The sequence below is a fragment of the Homo sapiens genome, chromosome 20 (genome assembly GCF_000001405.40).
Source record: "Homo sapiens chromosome 20, GRCh38.p14 Primary Assembly".
Classification (NCBI taxonomy): Eukaryota; Metazoa; Chordata; class Mammalia; order Primates; family Hominidae; genus Homo; species Homo sapiens.
Window position 1 is genome coordinate 7,902,620 of NC_000020.11, and position 22,937 is coordinate 7,925,556.

Genomic DNA, 22,937 nt, shown 5'->3' on the forward strand with positions numbered 1-22,937 from the left:
GGTATGCCTGTATATGAAGAGCTGACTAGAGAAAAGTTTCTCAGAAACACAAAGCCACAGTAGAAGTGAGACAGCCTAATTTAAATAAATTAAAAGAAAAAGAAAAGAACTCTAAAAGGCACCATGCCTTTGCTGAAAAAAGCCATTTGTTTGCTAGTGTGAGTTCTGACAAAGACCAAATTCTGTCTTAAGTACATGTTAGGAGCTTGCGTTGAAGTTCTCTAAGGGCAGTTTAACCACACACAGTAAGAGATTACATCTTCCATTCTAATTTGCATTCATTAAAATACAATTATTAAAATGGTGAGACAGTCAGATGTTTGGTCTAGATCTTCACAGTTGCTCATGATTTCATGTTCCTGAAAATATAATCTGCACTTTTCTGAAAAAGGAAAATGAAAGAGGATGGGTGACTCTCAGTCAATCCATGTGATTTCTGCATGAGGACCTGTGAAATGGAGAAAATTGGATTTCCCAGAACTGGCCCTGCCACTGCTCCCTTCCGATCCAGATTGAGCATATGTGTTACTTGGTGCAATTGTTGTCATAGAGATGATTCTTGTTTGTTAAATAAAAGAACCAAATAGTTACAGAAAAGTAGACGATGTAAACTGTACATGTATAAATAAGTTATTTCCCTTTAAATGTCAAATGTCCCATCTCTCCTTATCTTTTTTTTTTTTTTTGAGCTTTCTCTAATTAGATAGACTTATAGTTTTCATCAAGAAGTTCAGTAAATAAATATTTGGGCTATCTACTATGTGTAAAATGTCACAAAAATATTTAGAAACAAACCAGAAATCCATATGGATGAGAAGAAAAGAGAGGTGGTGATGATGGTGGTAGTGGTGGTCATGGTGGTCATGGTGGTGATAGGAGTGGTGGAGGTGGTAGTGGTGATACTGGTGGTGGTGGTGGAGGTGGTGGTGGTTGTCTTGGTAATGGTGGTGTTGATGGTGGTTGTGGTTATGGCGCTGGTGGTGGTGGTGGTCATAGTGGTGATGGGAGTGGTGATGGTGGTGGTGATGATAGCAGTGGTGGTGGTGGCAGTGGTGGTGGTTGTTCCTGGTAATGGTGGTGTTGATGGAGGTTGTGGCTATGGTGGTAGTTGTGGTGGTGGTGGTGGTCATGGTGGTAATGGGAGTGGTGATAATGGTGATGGGAGTGGTGATGGTGATAGCAGTGGTGGTGGGTGGCAGCAGTGCTGGTGGTTGTCCTGGTAATGGAGATTGTGGTAGCGGTGGTGGTGGTGGTGGTGGTGGTGGTGGTGGTGGTGGTGGTGGCAGTGGTCCTAGCTAAAGTGATAACAGAATGAAGATCTAGAAACCAAAATATTTTTCAACATAACATGTGATAGTAAATCTAATTCAATTGATTTGCACATATCTTAAGGAATAAAGTTGTAGAAAATGATATACACTGGAAATCCTAGATTGAAAAGGTGGTTAAAAAATAAAATGACCTCCTTCTTTGTTCCTTATTTGAAACAATTATGGAACAAGACTAAAATTCTATTCTTCCTTAGTGTTTTAAAGCCAGATCCCCTGGGCCGTCTCTGTGATTAACTGTCTTAATTTTCTAATTTAATTATACCTTCTCAGTCCCCTCCCTGCCATTACTCTAGGTCATCTCTACAATTATCTCTTTTCTGGGCAACAACATTTCCTAAATGTCTTCCCTGACCACAATTTTGCCACCTCCATCCATTAGGTCCGTTGTGCAAAGCATGATTTCTGTAAAATGCTTATATGATGAGGTTGCTTCTCTGATCAAGACACTTCAGTGGTTCTCAGCCACTTTAAAGTCTAAATTCTCTAAATGGCTTATGTGTTTTATAAATTGTTATGCATAATTGCTTTATTCTGCCAGTACTTCAGTCTGAAGTAGAGTCTATTGGCTTGATATCATGGCAAAACTCAAGCATCATCTTTCATTCTGAAAAGTGTTTTCTAACCCACTCTTACATTATTGCCCATATTCTTTTTTAAGCCATGCCCATAGATTTCTATGCAACATTTTATTGCACCCAAAATGCTTGTTTATATAACTGTCTCCTACAAGAATAGACTGTCATTTTATCCAAGGATCTAAAATTATTTTATTTCATAAAAATATTTTAGCACACAGTAGTTATGATATTTATGGAATGAATGAGTGAGTGAATAAGAGAATGGATGAATGAATAAATAAATGAATGGCACAGAACCTTCAGGTTAATATTATTTAGTCCCCACAGTTGAATGCAGCCACAGTAAGTAGCACTAGTAATCATGGATAACAACATGGATGCAAGTAAAGGAAGTGAAACCATTATTTAAAGGTGTCTGTAAACCAAACCAATACATATTCATTGAAGTATAATCCACAAAAATTTTGAACTAGGACAATGATTAGTAGGAAACAGTGAACAATTTTTGTAGAAGTACAGAATAATGTTTGAGATGACGGATATGCTAATTACCCTCATATGATTACTACACATTGTAGGTATTGAAACATCACTATATGCTCTATGCATATGTACAACTATTATATATCGATTTAAAAAACTAATTTAATTTGTTTAAGCACAGAATAAGAACATCTGGATTTAAACATATCTCCACTACTTAAATGCTGCACTGGGCTTAATTTCTTTTACTTTTATAAGCTCATTTCTTCACACATAAAATTAAATAGTCAAAGTAGGTAGACCTTTATAAATAGGGACCACATGACTCAGACATGTTCAAGTAAAATCTATGAAAAAGTTTTGATTCAAAGTCATTTAATAGACATACATTAATGGACAGACTCTCATCTTAAAGTCACTTACTCAAACATTTCAGTTAAAAAAAAGTTTTTGGCAGTTATCTATATAACCAAAGGTTATATACCACAAAGGTTTTCTTGCCTTTGTGGGTAAACACATTTACACTCCAAAATTATTATAGTCATTGGTATCTCCCTGTGGGATCTGAATACATGGGGATGCTGGAGGAAATAGTTAAGTTTCTTATTACCCATGGCTTGATAATTGAGCATTTGACCATACTAGTCAGCCATTCTCTTCAGAGAGGTGATGTGGGTTTGACCACACTCAAAAACTAGTCCTAGCCATTTGTACTGGAGGGAGCACAAGAAAAAGAGTAAAAGCTCTTAAAACAAGTCTGTCTGTCATAATATCTCCTTGGGGCTTCTCTTTGGTCTGAGAGCAACTGTTGCAGCTTTCAGGTAAAGCAATGAACTCATGACGTTCTACCAAGATCTTGCCAGGCTTCATGATTCAGTAACAGCTCTGAAATAAGGCAATAGCATCCCAATTCTTTGAAAAAGCTCACTTTGTGCTTCATGAGAGTTTAGCTCTGCTTCAGAATATTACCTAAGAATGAAGAAATATTTACTCACTAACATGAAAACAGAGAATTGAGAGTTGGAATGTCTCTCTCAATTTCCATGTTAATTTTTCCTTGTTATTTTCCTTTAAGAATATTATGAACGTATCCACAAAGGATCACAAAGTCAGTATGAATTCAAGTAGAGAAATAAACGAACCTCTCAAAATGCCCTTTGCAACAATTGGCAATGATGTCAGTCTTCTCAGCCATTTGATATCTTCCCAGCTGATAGATGGGTCTATTGCTTTAGCCACATATGCAGCAAGTCCACTGTCGTCTCCAAAATTTTCCTCAGGAGAAAATGATAAAGTACTGGTTTCAAAATTTTTCATCCTAAAATAAGAAATGCATAAAATGAGAAATTTGCCAAATTAGAAATACGTTTCCAATGATTCATTCAATGAAAAATGTTACCCTTTTCAAATCAATTGGCTGTTCACTGCTCATTTATCTATAAGTCAATTGCACACATATTTTCCATATTTTGATGTAGGACTCTAGACTAAATGTGATACTCTAGTGGTCTTAATCAGTGACCTAAATTTTATTTTACATCTTAGGCTGTGTTTACACAAACAAATCTGTTTCAAGAAAAAAAAATGTGTTCATATTCAAACATCTCATTTTTAAGCCAGTTTATGGATATAGACAATAGAGTTGACACGATTTTCAGCCAGCAATGCAAATTAATCACAATTTAAAAAGCATTTTTATGGTGCATTATAATTTACAAAGGGTTTTGTATGCCAAAATTATCACAATTTTTCTTTAAAAGACTCTTAGAAAGTAACATTGATACTCTATGATTCCCATAGAAAATAAAAACAGAGGTACAAAATGAATTGCCTCAAATATAGAACTAGCTAATAGCAGTATTTGAGCTCCAAACTGGGTCCCTTGACTTCATTCCTAACACTATTCTCTTTGCTCAGATCTCAGTTTCCTCCTGGTTATTGCACCTGACCTCAGGAAACCTTCCAATGCCCTTGTAGAAAATTCTAGAAGAGGTTGGAACCGCAGTAACAGGTGTTAACATGACTGTCTGTTGCCCCTGTAGACTCCTTCTTGCCTGCTATTGCAGTAGTGATGGTGGTGGTGGGCATGGGAGAAGTGGGAACTGTTTCCCAGCAGATGAGTTGTCACCTCTTGCCTTTCCCTCCCCCTTTTAGTTGTTCTCTCTGAACTTCTCGGTCTGCTGACTCAAACTTCTCTAATCTTCCAGACAAGTTTGACAACGACAAGAGCTTTTCAATTATCAATACCTTCATTTCTCTGCCAGTGGTTTTTTCTTGCTCCTGGGCCTGAGTCACAATCCACACAGCAGACTGGAGGCATTAGGGATGTTGAAGTGTAAATACCCCAGCTCCCTCACCGCTAGGTAGACTAACTCTGAGATAAATTCTGCCTAAGTTCCCAGAATTTTCCAGCAGGGTTAAGCTTCAGTTGCCCCGACTGTAGCTGTCTTGGTATTATGCCCTTTGTTCAATGCCTTCCCTCCTTTGCCTCACTTTCCTACTCCTCTAGCAGTATTCCCTTCACCTTCCCTATTAACTACTTGCACTGAAATCATAGGCTCACAGCCTGCTTCTAGGAGAACCCAACCTGAGACAAAGTACCACTGAGTTGCTTCCTTCCCGTATGACTATTTTTGTTGACCCAGCTTAGCCCAGTATTTCTCTAACTCACCTCTAAGATTCTGAAGCTGGCTTCCCCTGTGCCTGAGGTCTTTTCTCTTGGCCTAATATCCTGGCTAGATTTTGGCAGTTCCCCACTCTAGGGGCAATGTCTTTTCAGCCTGCACCTCTGACTCCTAGCTGGATGGATGACTTCAGGATACACAATAGAATCATTCCTGTGACTTATCTGCCCACAGTCCCAAATTCAGTTGCAAACTTCTCCTGAAAGGCTGTTTTTGAATAATGACAGTGACTGGACTCACCTTGCTCTTCTGCATACTATTAATTCCCCTGCCAGTCAATCTCCCTTTTTTTGGTCAAAGTATAGTTGTATGTATATTGATCTCTGGCTTAGTCCCATCTCTTTCTTCCCCTCCACCAGTTCTGTCATTAAATGTAGAGAAGATCATGGAGCCATATAAAAATTTATATATCGGCTGGGCGCAATGGCTCATGCCTGTAATCCCAGCACTTTGGGAGGCCGAGGTGGGCAGATCACCTGAGGTCAGGAGTTCAAGACCAGTCTGGCCAGCATGATGAAACCCAGTCTCTACTAAAAATTCAAAAAAATTAGCCGGACATAGTGGTGGGCACGTGTAATCTCAGCTACTTGGGAGGCTGAGGCACGAGAATCGCTTGAACCCGGGAGGCGAGGTTGCAGTGAGCAACTCCAGCCACTGCACTCCAGCCTGGGTGACAGAGCAAGACTCTGTCTCAAAATAAAAAAAAAAAAAAAATTATATATTATACTAGAAGAATCTAGGCACACTATTTAAAAATTATTTTTAACAATCATGACTTCCTTTAATAGAAAACTATGATTTTTTACACTTTAGAGTATTTTAGCTAACACAGCTGGTTATGTAGCTTAGGTGGCATATATTGTCATAAAGATATGAACATTCCTATCCCATATAACTCAATTCAAGCTATTAACAAGGCTTTCTCAATAAGGATTGAATAGTTAGTCCTATAGTTTCACGGACTCAGATGGCCATTTAAGATCATAGAAAATTTCATTGAGTCATATGGATGCCCATCTAGTCATTGGGCTTTGGTGGGGATTTTAGCTGAAATGCCTGGTCTTTCTTTTTATTTAAATCAAACCACTTAGGATTGTACATTATATCATAGTCCTTGGTCTTCTATGGTCACCCTAATTTGAATAAAGCTAACCGCTGGTCAATAAACACATCTTTACCATGGAGACCTATTTCATTACATACAAATGATTAAATGATAATAAATTCCAAGCTTTTAAATAATATTGTTAATAAGAAAAAGTCCAGTCTGTCTATCCCATAGCAAGACCGGGAAAAGAAAAAGAAAAACATCTGTATGTGTATGTAGTCTGCATGGCACCCCACCCCCATCCCAAACAAGCTCCAGTGTTTCAGCAGGGGTGGGGTGAAAGGGTGAAATGGATAGGAAAAAACAGAAACGTGGATAAAATTATATAAATAACTGTTGTTATTCTTGGATGGTGAAATGCGAATCAACACTTGAATGAATGTTGCCTTACAGAAATTTCAGTGCACAATGAAGCCTTGTTGTTACTCTGAAACTTTGTTCAAAGCCAGAAGCCAAGAAAAAGTTTTCAGATATCTTGACAGAGACCCACGATGGAGTGTTTTACCAAAGGCTCCAAAAGAAACCTCCATGAATGCTATTTTTATTCGGATTATGACATATATATATATATATATGTATATATATATATATATATATATATGCTTAAAGTGGCTTCTGATAACCAAAGTATTCCATTTCATAAGAAAAAAAGGGGTGAGATCAAAATAATAACACTATTACTTAGGGCTTAATTCTCCAAATCCTGATCTGTTTAATGACGCAAAGGTGAGAAACAAGATTTCTTCTTTGTAAGGTACTCATTATCTCTTGAGTGGCACTCAAATATACTTTTTAATATAGAAGTTGTTTTAGCTGTTAGTAATTTAGCATCATAAAAATAGTAACAACTGCTAATGTAAGTTAAACATTATTAAATAACCAATAGTAACACTATTAATCATGAATATTGAGTAATACATAATATTATTTATTATAAGTATTGATAATGCAACATTAAAGATAAAGCCACATAATTCCGTCTTGGGAAACAAAAAAATAACATGACCAGTAGAAGCTACAGCATCAACACAATATGAAAAGAAAGAGATTGAAAGAGGGGCTCATAAATACAGACACTGATACATGGGCCACCAGCCTTTAATTCTGTGGTTCGGAAAACACTTGTGTTGAGAACACAGCCCTGGTAATTTCTTCCTCAATGTGGCTGCTAGAAGAAGGTTCAGGGAATGAATTTTGAGTTCAAATCCCGGTTCAGCCTCTTACTAGTTATGTTACATTGGGAAAATCTTGTATGTTCTAGTATATTTTATCGATTGAGTCAACAATTACTTATTAAGCATCTACTACATGCCAGTGTTTTCAATGTTTAAGATATATAAATAAATAAAACAGTTAAGAATCCCTGCCCATGGTAAGCATAATCAATAAATTACAAAGTGTAGCAGAACATAAGCACTATACAAAGCCAAGAAAAAAGTAGAGCAGATTAAGAGAGATGTGAGTTTTCAGAGACTCAAAATGAAACTTTAAGTATGTATGGTAACCAGCGTTGGCAAAATTGAGAAGCTACCTTGAGAAAGAAATTAGTAGAACTGTGTTTGTGGTTATTTGTTACAACAGCAATAAAAATAACATGAAGGTATTATATTACAGTTCCAAATGTCAGAAGTCTAAAATAAGTCTCACTGGACTAAACTCAAGATATCAATAGGGCTGTATTTCTGGAGAATCTAGGGGAAGCCCTATTCCCTTGTCTTTTCCAGCTTCTAGATACCCCCTGCTTTCCCTGGTTCCTGACCACATCATTCCAACCTCTACATCTGTCATTTCATCTCTTTCTCTGACTCTGACACTCTTGCTTCCCTCTTATAAGGACCCTTTTAATTATATCAAGCCTACTGATAAAAACAGGAAAAATCTTCCCATCTCAAGCCCCTTAAGTTAATCACATCTGCAAAGTCCCTTTTGCCACATAAAGTAACAGGTTCCCGGGATTCACTCATGGACACCTTTATCCTGCCATACTTATCAATGTGAATGATTTCTTAACCAAAAATTTAAGAGGCTATTGTGCCATTTAAGAGGCTACTGTGCCAAGTCCTCCACTGACCTCTCTCCCCTGCCCCCACCCTGTTATCTTGCTCATATTTGCATCTCTACCATCAATTTTTATTGTGGTTTCCCAATATAGACATGTATATCCATTCCTAATGTCAAGACTCAATGGAAGTGAGGCTATTAGTCATGCGTTGATTCTGCGAATGACTGTTACAGACAGAGGGAACAGCCAGTGCAAAGGCTCCGGGGTTCCAGCATGCCTGGCATATTGAAAGAACCGCAGGGAAGCCAGAGTGCAAGAGTGGGTGAGGATGTGAGTGCTACGCAGTGAGGCAGAGGTCATGGAGACCTATTCACATTGAGTCTACTTTAAAGCAGGCCACTTTAATCATGAGAGACCTGAGAAGACAGTGGCAGGCTGATCTGTTTTAGTGTGATATATTCTGGCTGCTGCGATCAATAAATCATTTCTGGGCTTAAGAAAACATGTCACTGGCAAATCATAGAAAGGATAAGTGTCATGATTTACCTTGATCTTAGTCAATGATCAGAAATTACTTTTCTTCTCTTTAAACTGCCTTGGCACTGCACCGAAGGGCCAAATCTTAATTCAGGGTAAATGAACCATCTCCATGGGGATATGGAGAAAGAAAAAGTTCCTGCCCCAAAGCCTCAGGAATCAGTCTACTGAACTGGCTTCATTCCTTGCTTCTTCCAAGAGCAGATGAGAAGTCTCCTTACTCCCTCTCAGTTTCAGGAACCCCCTTGCCATTAATAATGTATACACATACATGTGTTTTGCATATGGACCAAGCAGAGACTACCAAACCTCTGAACTCTTGCTGGGCCCAGATGCCAAGAGACAGGACCCTCCCCCACACTTGGGCAGAGGAAGTAACAAGGGCTGGAAGGAGCCATGCTTTACAGGCTCATTCTCCTCTGGATTTCCTGCCTCCCTTGCCTGCCAAACTTCACTTATGAAAAGCCAGGCTTCACTTTCTATGAGTCAGGTCAGTTGCAGAAAGAAACCGATTTCATATCAGGCTATAACAGATGAGCTTTTGGGGTGTATTTGGCCTCAGGCGGAAGCCTGGACCTCCCGTTAGCATGCTCTGCCTTTAAGAGCTGAATGTGGGCCACTGAGGAACTGACCAGAAGGCACTGGCCTACTCCGAAGTCCACTAGGACAAACAACACCAATGTGCACTCTGAGGGGCTGGGGTACACCCAGCTGCGGGGTGTTTCCCGTGTTCCCTATAACCTGGATGTGTTGCTCATTATTTGATCATCTTCAGACCGGAGATGTGACAAGCTAGGAAGCCGCAGCCAGTTCTATGCACACCGACAGCTGAAAAGAGTCTTTGTTTCATGGCCCGTCACATCATCTGGGAAGGAGCCCAGGAGCAAAAGAAAAGGGGGGAAAGCAAATCAACCTTCCTGCCACTCACTGAGTAGCCCCAGCAGTGAAGAAGCAAGAGGTACCTGCCAGAATTAACAACTGTGTCATCTGCACCCCATCTAAGTAGATGCCTCTGTGAAACATATTTTGGTATCCAGAACAAGAAAGTATGTCTTAAGTTAAAAACAAAACAAAAAACCCTACTGTACTTACTATTGTTGTTACTATTGTTAGTAGTAGTAGTGTTAAGAGATGGAGGAAAAGGAAGAACAAATTCCTTTTCAAATAGCCAAGGGGAAATAATGAGAAATGTTTCCTCTAAGAAGCCTCGATAGTGGGAAACTATTTAGAAAGTCTTTAAAAAAAAAAAAAAGTAGTCAAAATAGAGAAATAATGTAAATACGGGATTCATATTGGGGGAATTTGAATCCATCAGCTTTCTGACGAATTTGGCAAGGAGTAAGACTATGTCAGAGGCTTTTGTTTTTGTTCTCTTTAAACACAGGTTGTTTAGGTAACCCTGAGTCTGGGATATGTGGAACAGTTTTATTGGCCAGTTTGGCAGGGAGAGCACTTTCTTTTTCTGTCATTGGTCTAATCCTGGTGCCACATACAGAAATGATATCCTAAACCAGCCTGGTAGTAACAGGGAGGTAACATCACACAGCTAATTCACACATGGCTCAACAGCAAGATTTTATGCACAGTAGTTTATTCTCACATAGGCACAAACACAGTAAAACTATGTGAAACTTATACAAGACTGCAGCAACTTTCGTGGTGAGATTCACTCCACAGTCACTGAAATAGATATGAAATTCCAGGGGAATATTAATTTGATTTTGGATCTTTTCATTTTTTAATATTTTAGAAGAGTAAACACAGTATGTTTACATGTGGCTTCTTTCGTCTTTTATCTTTTTTCAATTTTGCTAGCCCTAGTTTTTTGTTTTTTTTTTTTTTTCCAAATACAATTCAAACATAGAGTAAGCAAGGGCCTCTGTGGCATGAGATCTGGGAACACAGGAAGACATTCCTCATCATCTTACATATTCTGATGGATGCTGTAGGAGTCCATCATAAAAATGTCCTCCATTAAAACTAAGATTTTGATCCCTTTTAAAATACTTATAGGCCTGAGGTACATTATACATTCATATGAAAAATCCAAGAGCACATTTTGGTGGAAACTGAAGGAAGGAAAATCTGATGGGGAAAAGAGGTGTATAGCTTAAGGAGGTTTGAGTCTTTCCCAGAGACTTCCACTCAGTTTCCAGCTTTGACTCAAGATGATTGTAATCCCAAAATACAACCAGGAAAGAGATAATAATTCACAGCTTGTGGACAGGGTGAATGAATGACCTGATGAAACCTTTATAGTTCAACATCAGATTATGTGATATATTGTTTTTGCTAAGATGAATGATTTGAGTGAATGAATCAATGAATCTTGACCCATGGATGAACCACAGTGAAAGGAATATTGCTGAAAGAAGAAGTAGACAGTGAGGGATCAAAGATGTGGCTTTTTTAAACCTTCATTATTTTCTTTCTTCAATCTTCTTAGCCTTAGCTGTCCCATGTACCATTAAAAATAAAAGGTAAAGGTGGCTCTTTGACTTTAACAAAGAAATAGGGCACCAGGATGATAATAATAAACTGCTGCTTGGGCAAAATTCAGTATCTTCCATCTGTATAGCAATTCATACTTCCCAAAGCCAAAGCCCTTAATGCACTCTGGTCTGAAAATTTATTGGACTTTTATAGAGGCCATTTCTGTTTCTATTGTGTATCTCAAAAAAAGTGATGTCTACAAAAGGGATGTGATTAGCTGAAGATTAACTAGATGTTTAGCAACGTTGCTATCAGTAGAACCCAGACCCTAACATTCCCAGTCAAGATCCCTTTCGCCTCAGCTCGGGGCCCACATGATCATGGTTACCTGAGTTGTGGCGGCAGTTTGAATCTGTTACGCACATCATCCAGACGGTTGCCCAGGTAAGGTGTGTCCACTGTCACAAATATGGCCTTGTAGCCCATCTTCTCTGCCTGCCGCACTAGCTTCTTGGTGACTTCTCGGTCCTTGTAGATATACAGTTGCAGCCAACGAAGTGCCTCAGGACCAGCTTCCGCCACTTCTTCAATTGAGGAGGTGGCCCAGGAACTCAACATCATGCCCGTTCCCAGGGACTGACAGGCTGAGAAAGAAAGGGGATGATCAAGATGGGCCTGGCATTGCTTACCCTCCCAAACCTTTGAATTGTAGTTGGATGAGTAAAGACATCTAGAAGGGCAATTTGGCAATATGAAGTCAAATCTCTTAAAGAGAGAAGAAAGTCTGGCCCATACCATCTATTTCCTGATTCTACCTCCTCTGATACAAATGGCTACTGGAGTTATTTCTGCTCAGTGTTTATTTTCCAATGATTAGAAATATACATTTCTTTCCACACTTTGTATATTGTTCCTGAAGAACAAAATAAATCCAATAGTCAAAGGTGTCTGTAAATACGGGCAAAAAATATTAAGAACCTGAACATCCAGCCTTAGGGGATTGGTTAAATTGTAGGTCATATATAAAATGAAATGAACACACCCATTAAAATTAATATTATTGCTGGGCACAGTGGCTCACGCCTGTAATCCCAGCACTTTGGGAGGCTGAGGCGGGTGGATCACCTGAGGTCAGGAGTTCGAGACCAGCCTGACCAACGTGGTGAAACCCCATCTCTACTAAAAAAACACAAAATTAACCGGGCGTGGTCATGGGCGCCTGTAGTCCCAGCTACTCAGGAGGCTGAGGCAGGAGAATCGCTTGAACCTAGGAGGAAGAGGTTGAAGTGAGCTGAGATTGCAGCATTGCGCTCTAGCCTGGGTGACAAGAGTGAAACTACATCTCAAAAAAAAATAATATTATTATGATAATCAATTTTCTGCATCAATATGCTAAACCATGGTGCCCAGATATTTGGTGAAACATGTCTGAATGCTGCTATGAAGGTGTTTTTTAGATGAGATTAACATTTTAATTAGTAGACTACAGGTAAAGCAGATTATCCCTCATAATGTGAGTGGGTCTTATCTAATCAGCTCAAGGCCTTAAAAATAAGTCTGTGAAGGAGAATAAGAAGAAGGGGAAGGAGAAGAAGAAGGGAAAGGGGAAGGAGAAGGGGAAGAGGAAGGGGAAGTAAGACTGCTAAGAAAAAGAAGAATTCTGCAAGGAGCCTGCCTTCAGACTGGAACTGCAACATCAACATTTCCCTGGTAGCTTGCCCACCTACTCTGCACATTTGAACTTGCAAGCTTCCACAAACACATGAGCCAATTCCTAAAAATGTCTATCTATGGATAGGTGTTTTAGAGATAAAGATAGAGATAGAGAGATAGACTTATGTATGTATCTATCTGTATCTATCGAGAGAGAAAAAGATGAGAAATCTCCAAGGGGGAGATCCTATTAATTCTGTTTCTCTGGAGAACTCTGGGTATTACAATTTTAAAATAATATAGACATAGAAAAATGTTTATGATATATAGATATATTAAGGAAAGAAAAAAGTTTACAAAATGACATGTATTACATGATATCAAATTTGTACAATTCTACTTATTGGTAGATGAATCTAAACAAACTACATGCTAATGATGGGTGGGAGAATTATGGGGTTAGTTTAATTTTTTTCTTCCTTTTTAATTTTAAAATTTTGTCTTTCAAAATTGTATTAAATATATAGTTTACCATTTATGTTGTCTTTTAAAATCTCATAAAATGTGTGTGCTAGATATCCCAAGTAGACACATCCTTTTGAGCAAGGTAGCAGTTACATTTTGGGGGGAAAGGTAGCAAGAAACGGGCAAATAAATGGAAAATTAAATAGAGTCATCTAACTAATAGTTTTAGAGGGTACTTGAGAGAACATGAGTGATAGGTAGGCTTTCTTCCAAAAATTGGTAGTAAAATTGGAGTAAAATTGGAGTCAGCCTTAGTGGAGGAGAAACTGATATAATGTTTATATGCAATATATAAAACAGTCAAATCTGTTATAAAGTATAAATATATTAGAAGTATAAATATATAAAAGTATATTATGTAAAACTCTATTCCTTCAAGTCATTTGACTCATCTGTGTGCCTACCATGCATCAAATGGGTATAAATATACTTGTCCAAATGACACTCACAGGATGTTGATAGGAATCCAGTGAGTTGCTGCTTATAAAGCTATAATGAGAGGTTAAAAAGCTTCCATGATTCTCAAACTTTAGCAGGACAATCCCCTGGAGGGCATGTGAATGAAACACAGATTTCTGGGTCCCACCCACAGAGCTTCTGGTCCAGTAAGTCTGAGATGTGGCCCAAGAGTTTGCATTTCTAACCAGATTAGGCTGATGCTAGATCACACTTTGACATTTAAATAGTACCATAGCCATTAGATAGTAAAGGTCTAAGTTCAAATGAAATAAAATGTATTTTGTTTTTGATAAATGTTAATTTTTCAATGCCTTTGAAGATGTTTTTCATACATGTTCTCCCGGTCAGTGGTTAGCTACAGAAGATCTGAGTTGGAGGTCATCATGTCTATAGATCACTAGTCTGTTCTCCCAAAGAGTTCCTTCTATAGGAATTCATGACTGGCAAAATATTGTCTAAAACCCACATTTTATTAAGTAAGAACACAAATGAACATATAGACCATTGTCTGATTTTCATTAAGATTTGGAAATGTGGAAAATAAATTCAGGTCACTTACTGCTGTTTGAAAGGAACACCAAGGGACATTGATTGCTTGGATCAAAATCCTCCAACAATCAATTCACCTGAAATAAATTATGTCCTGGCCAGGGTTGGTGGCTCTCATCTGTAATCCCAGCACTTTGGGAGGCCAAGGTAGGCAGATCCCTTGAGGTCAGGAGTTCAAGACCAGCCTGATCAACATGATAAAACCCTATCTCTACTGAAAATACAAATATTAGCTGGGCGTAGTGGCGCATGCCTGTAATCCCAGCTACTCAGGCGACTGAAGCACTAGGATTGCTTGAACCCAGGAGGCGGAGATTGCAGTGAGCTGAGATCACACCACTGTACTCCAGCCTGGATGACAGAATGAGACTCCCTGTCAAAAAAAAAAAAAAAAAAAAAGTCCTGAAGAGGATGTTACCTAAGGTCACACAGAAATGAGCAACAAAGTAGGAGAACTCAGCATGGCTGAGCACTCTCCCAGGGCAATGATCTTTCTAGACTCCCTACATGTCTAAATGACTCCCTGGTACCATGCCTAGATAAATGTACTCCCTCAATATTTCAGGGCAGTGACATCCAAGAGAGTAGGTTTGCCATGTGCATGAGAGACACTGCCATGCATTGGGAAGGCATGGAATCTTAGAATCCAGTGGGAAGGTCCTCCGTACACTGGAGGTGCAGAGTGTGGATGCACAAAGGGGTCTGGCAGAGAAAATCACTCAGATGATAGGGCATGTTTTTGTAGTTAATACAAAGACATCATGTAGTCAAGCAGCAGCTCTGCCAATAGGAACATCAAAATCCACAAAAGGATTCCCTTGAACTCATGAGAAATATCTACAGACACTCCACACAGATTACCAAAATGCTGCAAAACACACATAATTTCTACTTCTCTTAAACCATCTGACTTGCAGGAAATGTAAGCCCTTCACAAACATTTTACCCAAATCACTTGGGTATGCATATTTAGAGAGAAGCAAGTTTGGTCCATACCATCTATTTCTTGATTCTACCTTGATACAAGTAACTGCTGGAGTTATTGCTGCTCAGTGATTATTTTCCAATAAGTAAATCATACATGGCTGAAATTTTGAATTGGCATCCCCAAAATTATTCCAAGAGAATGCTCCTGCATGTAGGAGGAATATCAGAGTCTGTGCTAAGGTATTATCATTTGAAGCTAAAATACTAGTCCTAGGAGAAAACAGGAGCAAAACAGCAGGCTCCCTTCTCCCCAGAACAAATATGAGTGATCACTCTGATCTCAATCCACTTGTGACTATTTGCTATGACAAAGGAAAATTATTGATGAATTACATTCATTATTTTTAATACAGTTTTATGTTAGAATGAGCTAAGGGAGCCTGGGAATTTATATGAACCATTCAGAGAGGCAATAAAGAATTTGCCTATTTCTTAAGGACAGATCTGAGATGAAGTTGGTACATACCAGAATGGCAATTATGTTTGTTAAAATATTAAAATACTTACACTCCAATTGGTAAATAGCCACGGCTCTGAAGTTTATCACCCCAGCCCCCGAGTCTCTTCAATATGTCGTTGTGCTTCAATATGTCATCACTTCCTTTTCTCCCCAAGGAATCCCCAGACTTCCTCATAATCCAGCAACTTAAACATCAGTGCCGGCAGAGCGGGGGGCATCCACCCTGTTAGAGCGCTAGAGACCAGCAGCTGAGTATCTCTTCCAATTGCTCAAAGTCCTTTGCTAAATAATTCAAATATTACCTTTGCCTGAGAGACAATGATAAACCCTTTGAGTTCACACTGCTCATTTTGGGGTAATACTTACAAGCTTCAAAATTTTATAAATGGCGTAGCATGGTCAGACTTCATCAAAAAGTTCTGACTATCGTTATCCTAGCCTATGGCTTGAAAGCACAAATGTTTTAAGCCCTTTTACTCACCTTATCCATTGTCCACAATGAAATTCTGACTCCCTGCTCCCAAAGCAGACACTGTCTCATTGCATTTTGCAAAGGACAGGGGTTGGATTTCATTCTTGCTCCCAATGTGTGGCTATGTATTAGACTGTAACGGAAGATTCCAATGATATGTGTTGCAGTTTTAAGATGCCTGGCAAAATGGAGCTCACAGCTGAGGTCATATTAACATAAAGGCAAAACCTGGCTCTTGCCTAGAATGAAGTTCCCTAATGTTGATCCAAATCTAAAAATCTTGGCTTTTGTAATAGACGGTATATCCTAAAGATGAAATACCTAGGAGCCTACACCATCAAGTAACACTGATCTTGTATGAAATCCCAGGACTCTCTTCTCTTACTCACTGACTCTTTCATTGTCCTTAAGACATATCTTCAAAGATAGACACCTACACTTTTAATGTTACAGATATATTCAGACTTTATTCGTATGTTTGGCATTTCTTTCTCTTCTTTAATTAAACAGTGATACACTGTGCCATTGCTATAAGGAAATTGCATATGACACACACACACACACATACAATCACTAAAAGGGACACTGGCCAGGTCTCAGGTATTGAAGCATCAAAGATAAGGCTACCTATATAAACTGGGAGATAAAACTTTCATTTCAGAACAACAACAGGGTAGAATGGATTGAAAGCCTGTCCTAGAGTCCCAGTCTTGCCATCCATGAAGTACGTTCTATCTGCACAATTGCTATAGCCACAGCTGTTCTGCCTACTTCATAGCATTGCAAGATCATCTACTGGGGCAATGTTTCTGAACGTTTTCTGTGTAATCTCTGAAGCCATGCAATTGTAAAGGGTAAGGTGAGAGGACGCCTAATGCATTTGGAAAAATAAGTTCTGGATAGCTTTGTATGTATTTCTAATTTTGCCAAGGACCTGAATTTCTTAATGTCATTATTTGTTAATCTTCTCCACAGCCAGCTTTCCTTTGCAATTATTTTTAATTTATTTATATTTATTTTTAATTGGAAAATAGTAATTGCACATGTTTATGGGGTACAAAGTGATGTTTTGATCTATGTATACATTGCAGACAAATTTAGACAAGCTAATGACCATATTCATCACCTCACCAACTGATAAGGTTTGGCTTTGTGTCCCCACCCAAATCTTATCTCAAATTTTAATCCCACGCATCAAGGCAGGGAACTGTAATCCCCATGTGTTGAGGGAAAGAGGTGATTGGATCATAGGGGTGATTTCCTCCATGCTGTTTTCATGCTAGTGAGTGAGCTCACACGAGATCTGATGGTTTTATAAGGGACTCTTCCCCCTTCACTTCACACACAGGATCTCTTACCTGCCACCATGTAAGACATACCTGCTTTCCCTTTCACCATGATTGTAAGCTTCCTGAGGCCTCCCCAGCCATACAGAACTGTGAGCCAGTAAACCTCTTTTCTTTATAAATTACTTAGTCTCGGGCAGTTCCTTATAGCAGTGTGAAAGTGGACTAATACACCAACTTACCATTTTTTTGTAGGGAGAACATTAAATACCTAATCGTTTAGTAATTTTAAGATATACAATACATTACTATTAACTGTGGACACCATGCAGTACAATAGATCACTAAAACCTATTACTCCAGTCGCACTGAAACTTTGTACAACTTTGATCAATATGTCACTTTCCTCATTCTTTTCCTTCCTCTCCCAGCCTCTGGTAGCCACCTTTTTATGATCTGTTTCTGTGAGACCTACCTTTTTAGATTCCACATATAAGTAAGATCATATAGTATCTGTCTATCCATGTTGTTACAGAATTTCCCACTTTTTAAAGGCTGAATAGTATTCCTTTGTGTACATACACCTCATTCTTTATCCATTCATCTGTCAATGGATACTTAGGTTGATGGCATATCATGACTATTATGAATAATGCTATAACGAACATAGAAGTGCAGATATCTCTTCAACATGCTGATTTCAATTCCTCTCAATAAATATCCAGAAGTAGAATTTCTGGATCATATGGCAATTCTATTTTTAGTTTTTTAAGGAATTGTGTGAAACTAAAATGTTTCTGCACAGCAAAGAAAACAATTAACAGAATCAAGAGACAACACAGGTATTGGGAGAAAATATTTGTAAAGTGTATATCTAATGAGTGCTAATATCCAAAAAAAAAAATAAGGAACTCAAACAACTCAATAGCCAGAAAACAAATAACCCAATTAAAAAATAGGCAAAGGACAGCAAGAGAAACAATCAAAGGAGTAAACAGGCAACCTACAAAATTGGAGAAAATATTTGCATACTATGCATCCAACAAAGGTCTAATATCCAGAATCTTTAAGAAACTTAAACAAATCAACATGACAAAACAGATAACCCCATTAAAAAGTGGGCAAAGGACATTTGCAGATACTTCTCAAACAAAGGCATAAAAGAGGCTGATAAATATATGAAAATGATGCTCATCATCTCTAATCATCAAAGAAATGCAAATCAAAACCACAATGATATACCATCTCATACCAGTCAGAATTACTTTTGTTAAAAAGTCAAAAAATACTATGTTGGTGAGTCTGTGGAGAAAAGAGAAGGCTGATACACTGCTGTAGGGAATGTAAATTAAATAAGCCACTATAGAGAGCAGTTTGGAGATTTCTCAAAGACCTGAGAGTTTTTCTACCATTCGATCCAGCAATCCCACTAACTGGGTATATTCCCAAAGGACAATAAGTCATTCTACCAAAGAGACACGTGCACCTGCATGTTCATCACAGCACTATTCACAATAGCAAAGACATGGAATCAATCCAGGTGCCCACCAATGGTGGATTGAATTTTTAAAATGTGGTACATATCCACCATGGAATACTATGTAGCCATAAAAAATAACAAAATAATGTCCTTTGCACCAACATGGATGCAGCTGGAAATCAATAACCTAAGTGAATTAATGTAGTAACCAAAAACCAAATACCACATGTTGTCACTTATAAATGGAAGCTGAATATTGGATACACATGGTCAAAAAAATGGTAACAATAGATGCTGGGGAATACAACAGTGGGGTTGGGAGGGGGAAAAGGGCTGAAAAAAACTACCTGTTTGGAATTGTGGTCACTACCTAGGTGATGGATTCATTTGCACTCCAAACCTCAGCATCATGCAATATACCTTTGTAACAAACCTGCACATGGCTCCCTGATTCTAAAATAAAAGTTGAAAAAAGAAAAAAAATTGGCAAAGGATCTGAACAGACATTTCTCAAAAGAAGAGATATAAATGGCCAATAGATATATGAAAGAAGCTCAGTATCACTAATTATCAGGGAAATTTAAATTAAAATCATAATGAAGTATCACCTCCAACTGTTAGAATGGTTATTATCAAAAACACCAATGATAACAAGTGTTGGTGAAGATGCAAAGAAAAGGGAACCCTTGTGGAGAAAAGGGAACCCATTGATGTCAGGAATGTAAGTTAGTACAGACATTTTGAAAAACAGTTTGGAGATTCTTCTACAATGATTTTGATGCTCAAGAGACCCATTCCTCTTTTCCCTTGCAAATATAGTGTCCAATGCTCAATACCTTTATGGAGAAAGCTCCTAAAGGAGAGTGGAATCTTCTCCAATTCCAAGAATTCCCTGTGAGGACATATATAGGGAGAGAATATCTAAGGAGATAATTTCTGCATTCCCAAGGTACACATTACTTTGGAGAGCCTGGAACAAATAATCCAAGAAGTGAAACAAGAACATGCTTTTCCCTATCCCCACCCTAACCTGTTCACAAATTTCCATGGGGGGAGCTGCAGAGTGAGTCTAAGGGGCTGGCAGCACTTGCATAGTCCAAACATCAATCAGTAATACTTGGAAGAAAAATTGTAAAGTTCCCAGTGTAAGTTTTTGGTTTCTCTACTCTTCCATTTGCAATGTAACTATAAATATAATGATATAAAAATAAATGAGATTAATATCCTTGTTTACTATCATCCATTCCCCCCACTCCATCTCAAAAAATGGGCTACGGCCAGTGGCATGATTTCTGTTTTATAGAATAAAAGTTAATCTCAGACCCACCCATAATAAAGATTTCTATTAGAGTTAAATCACATGTCCTAGGGTGGAAAAATGCCACAAGGGTCTGCAATAACCTGACATAAGGTAAGTGTAGCTCGACCTTTCTAAACTGCCATTCAATAGAGGGTTGGCTAAATTTCCTATACTATGGAACCTACAATCAATGGCTGAGATTTAAAAGAACTCATCAAGTATGAATGCAGCTACCTCTGGGGACGCTAATCCGGAACTCCAAAGTACAGTGATTTAAATGAGCTAGGACAGGTAAACAGCTTTGGAAAACAGCAAAAACTGGCAGTGTTCTCCCTCTGGCTGGGAAATGCAATTGTTCTTCTAGAGCTTGGCAGAGTTTTGTTTTGTTTGTTTGTCACATCAAGTCTTAATGAAAACATTTATTTCTGATCCAGGTAATCTGGATGTGAAGAAGCAAAAATAGGAAATCCATTGTGTACATAAATTTTAGGGGCCTGCATACTAAGCCTGCCTGTCCCAGGTTTTTATCAAAGACTACTGTGAACACATCTCTTAATTATCTAGAGTCTCCTTGTGACTTCTCACTCATTTCAGGCAGTCATTCTGAACTTAATAGGCTCTCAGAAGACCTTGAGGGTCTTCAGAAGGGAACAATATCCATCTACATCTAATAGTGTCATGTGTGAAGACCTGAACTATGCCTTTGGCTTGGAACCAACAGGAACTTTCATCCCAGGCTCTGATCAGGGCTTCTCAATCTTTGAGGAATCACATGGGTATGTTAACAAAATTCAGATTCTGACTCAGTAGGTCTGTAGTGCGACCTAAGATCTGCATTTCTAACAAGCTCCAGAGTCCTGCTGACGCTGATGTTCCAAGGACCATACTTTGAGAACCATGAGGTAGATATTTTCTTTCAAAAGGACTCATCCAAATTAGTAGAATATGTGTGATGTCCTGAGCAAAGTTGGGGCTCATTGAAAACGGGAGGGAAATATGGAGCAATGGCAGTGAAGTTGGTAGTGGTTGTCCCATGGTTTGCCAATGGCCCGCCATGCCTTGCTGATAAATCTGCCTTTCTTCTAGCCTGGCACCCTCTGGAGAGGGTCACAGGTACATTTGCCACATTTGTTTATGTATTCTTCTCTTATTAGTTTTAAAGCCAAGGAATTAAACTGTGTTCGCATAATGGCCCCTCAGTACACTTAACCATTATCCCATGATTTTGGTTTGGTTTAGTTTGGGTTGTGTTGTTGTTGTTGTTGTTGTTGTTGTTGTTGTTTGTTTGTTTAGCTTGCTTATCTGGGATTTGTCCAGCTTCCTAGATCTCAGATCAGAAGCAGAAGTGAATAATAAATAAAAATAAAATGGTATAAGATGAAGAAGAGAGCGCTTACTCAAAGCTGAGAAAGCACAAGTTATCAATTATAAAATAGTTTCCAAATGTTTAATGTCAAATCCAACAATCTTACACACAGAAATAAGATGATGAACCATCAGGCAAAACTGAAGTTTATCATGCTGGGCTTGATGAGGAAGGGAATTATAATATATTTGAGAATGATGTTCATCCACAGCCACCACCACCACCACAAAACAATAGAGGGAAATAGAAAATATTAGTTATCAATGAGAGTAAATTATTTGGAACATCAATTCATATGGGACTAATCATATACCTAGATTCAAGCAGAACAATTAAGTAACATGTTAATTTAGACCCAAATAATTTCTTTGAAAATAATTCTCTTTTATGGGAAGGCAGAATCAAATTTCCAAATTATGGTTTTAAGGAAAAAGAGGAAAGAGGAAGCAAAAAAGTGTAATATGTTCAAAGGGCCTAAAGTGTTGGGGTTTTCTTAGGTGCATTTGATTAAAAAGCTCCTACAAAACTTAGTCATCAAAACAGCTGCACTGAAAATAATTTTGTTGAGAAAACGCATTTTGTCATCTGCACAGGAAGTCATTACGTAATGGGGAAAATATGCGATGACCAAGTACCAAGCAGTTGTGTGGTTCTAAACTCAGGGCCTGTCATAGTGAAGTGTTTGTATAACTGTGCACCATAATGTCCATTGAGTGTGTCATCCTATCTTCACAGGGGAACTACCATCATAAAGGTCTTCACAGAGGATCTACCATCACATAGACGCAGTCAACATTGTTTTATGAATGTCTAAAATTACAATTGAGATTAACCAGAAAAATAAAGTTCTGAAGTCAGTGATCTAAAAGAACAAACCTTCAACTACAATTATGCTTGAAATACTTAAAAGTTGTCAAACAGATCTTAATTTACAATTTATGGAACTGAACCAATTTAAACACTGCCAAGAAAGACCAAGAAACCAGATTTAATCGTTGCCGTGCTTTCATCATGGCCCATTGAACGAATCCGGAGCTATATAATCTTGAGTGATCACACTGCCACTACACCTCTAGACCTCTTTTTTACTTATGAAAATATTTTCAAGGAACAATTAGTCTCAGGGACATCTTAGCTCTCCCTTCCTTGTTTTCACTGTATTTCTAGGGCAGAACTCTGCAACAGACTAAAACATTAGCTCTACTGCAGTGATTCCTGTGTTATTATTCTGTCATTTTACTGAA

The 22,937-nt window shown here is 38.3% G+C and overlaps 1 protein-coding gene across 1 annotated transcript in view; it reads right to left on the reverse strand.

The window, feature by feature from the left end:
- The window catches only part of HAO1 (hydroxyacid oxidase 1), a 57,474-nt gene that overhangs the window by 19,635 nt on the left and 14,902 nt on the right, over positions 1-22,937 (reverse strand). The window contains exons 3-4 of the mRNA NM_017545.3: positions 11,545-11,800; positions 3,535-3,710 (exon numbers count right to left, since the gene is read on the reverse strand). Of these exons, the coding sequence (NP_060015.1) occupies positions 3,535-3,710; positions 11,545-11,800 (432 nt within the window). The remainder of the gene's footprint in view (positions 1-3,534; positions 3,711-11,544; positions 11,801-22,937) is intronic.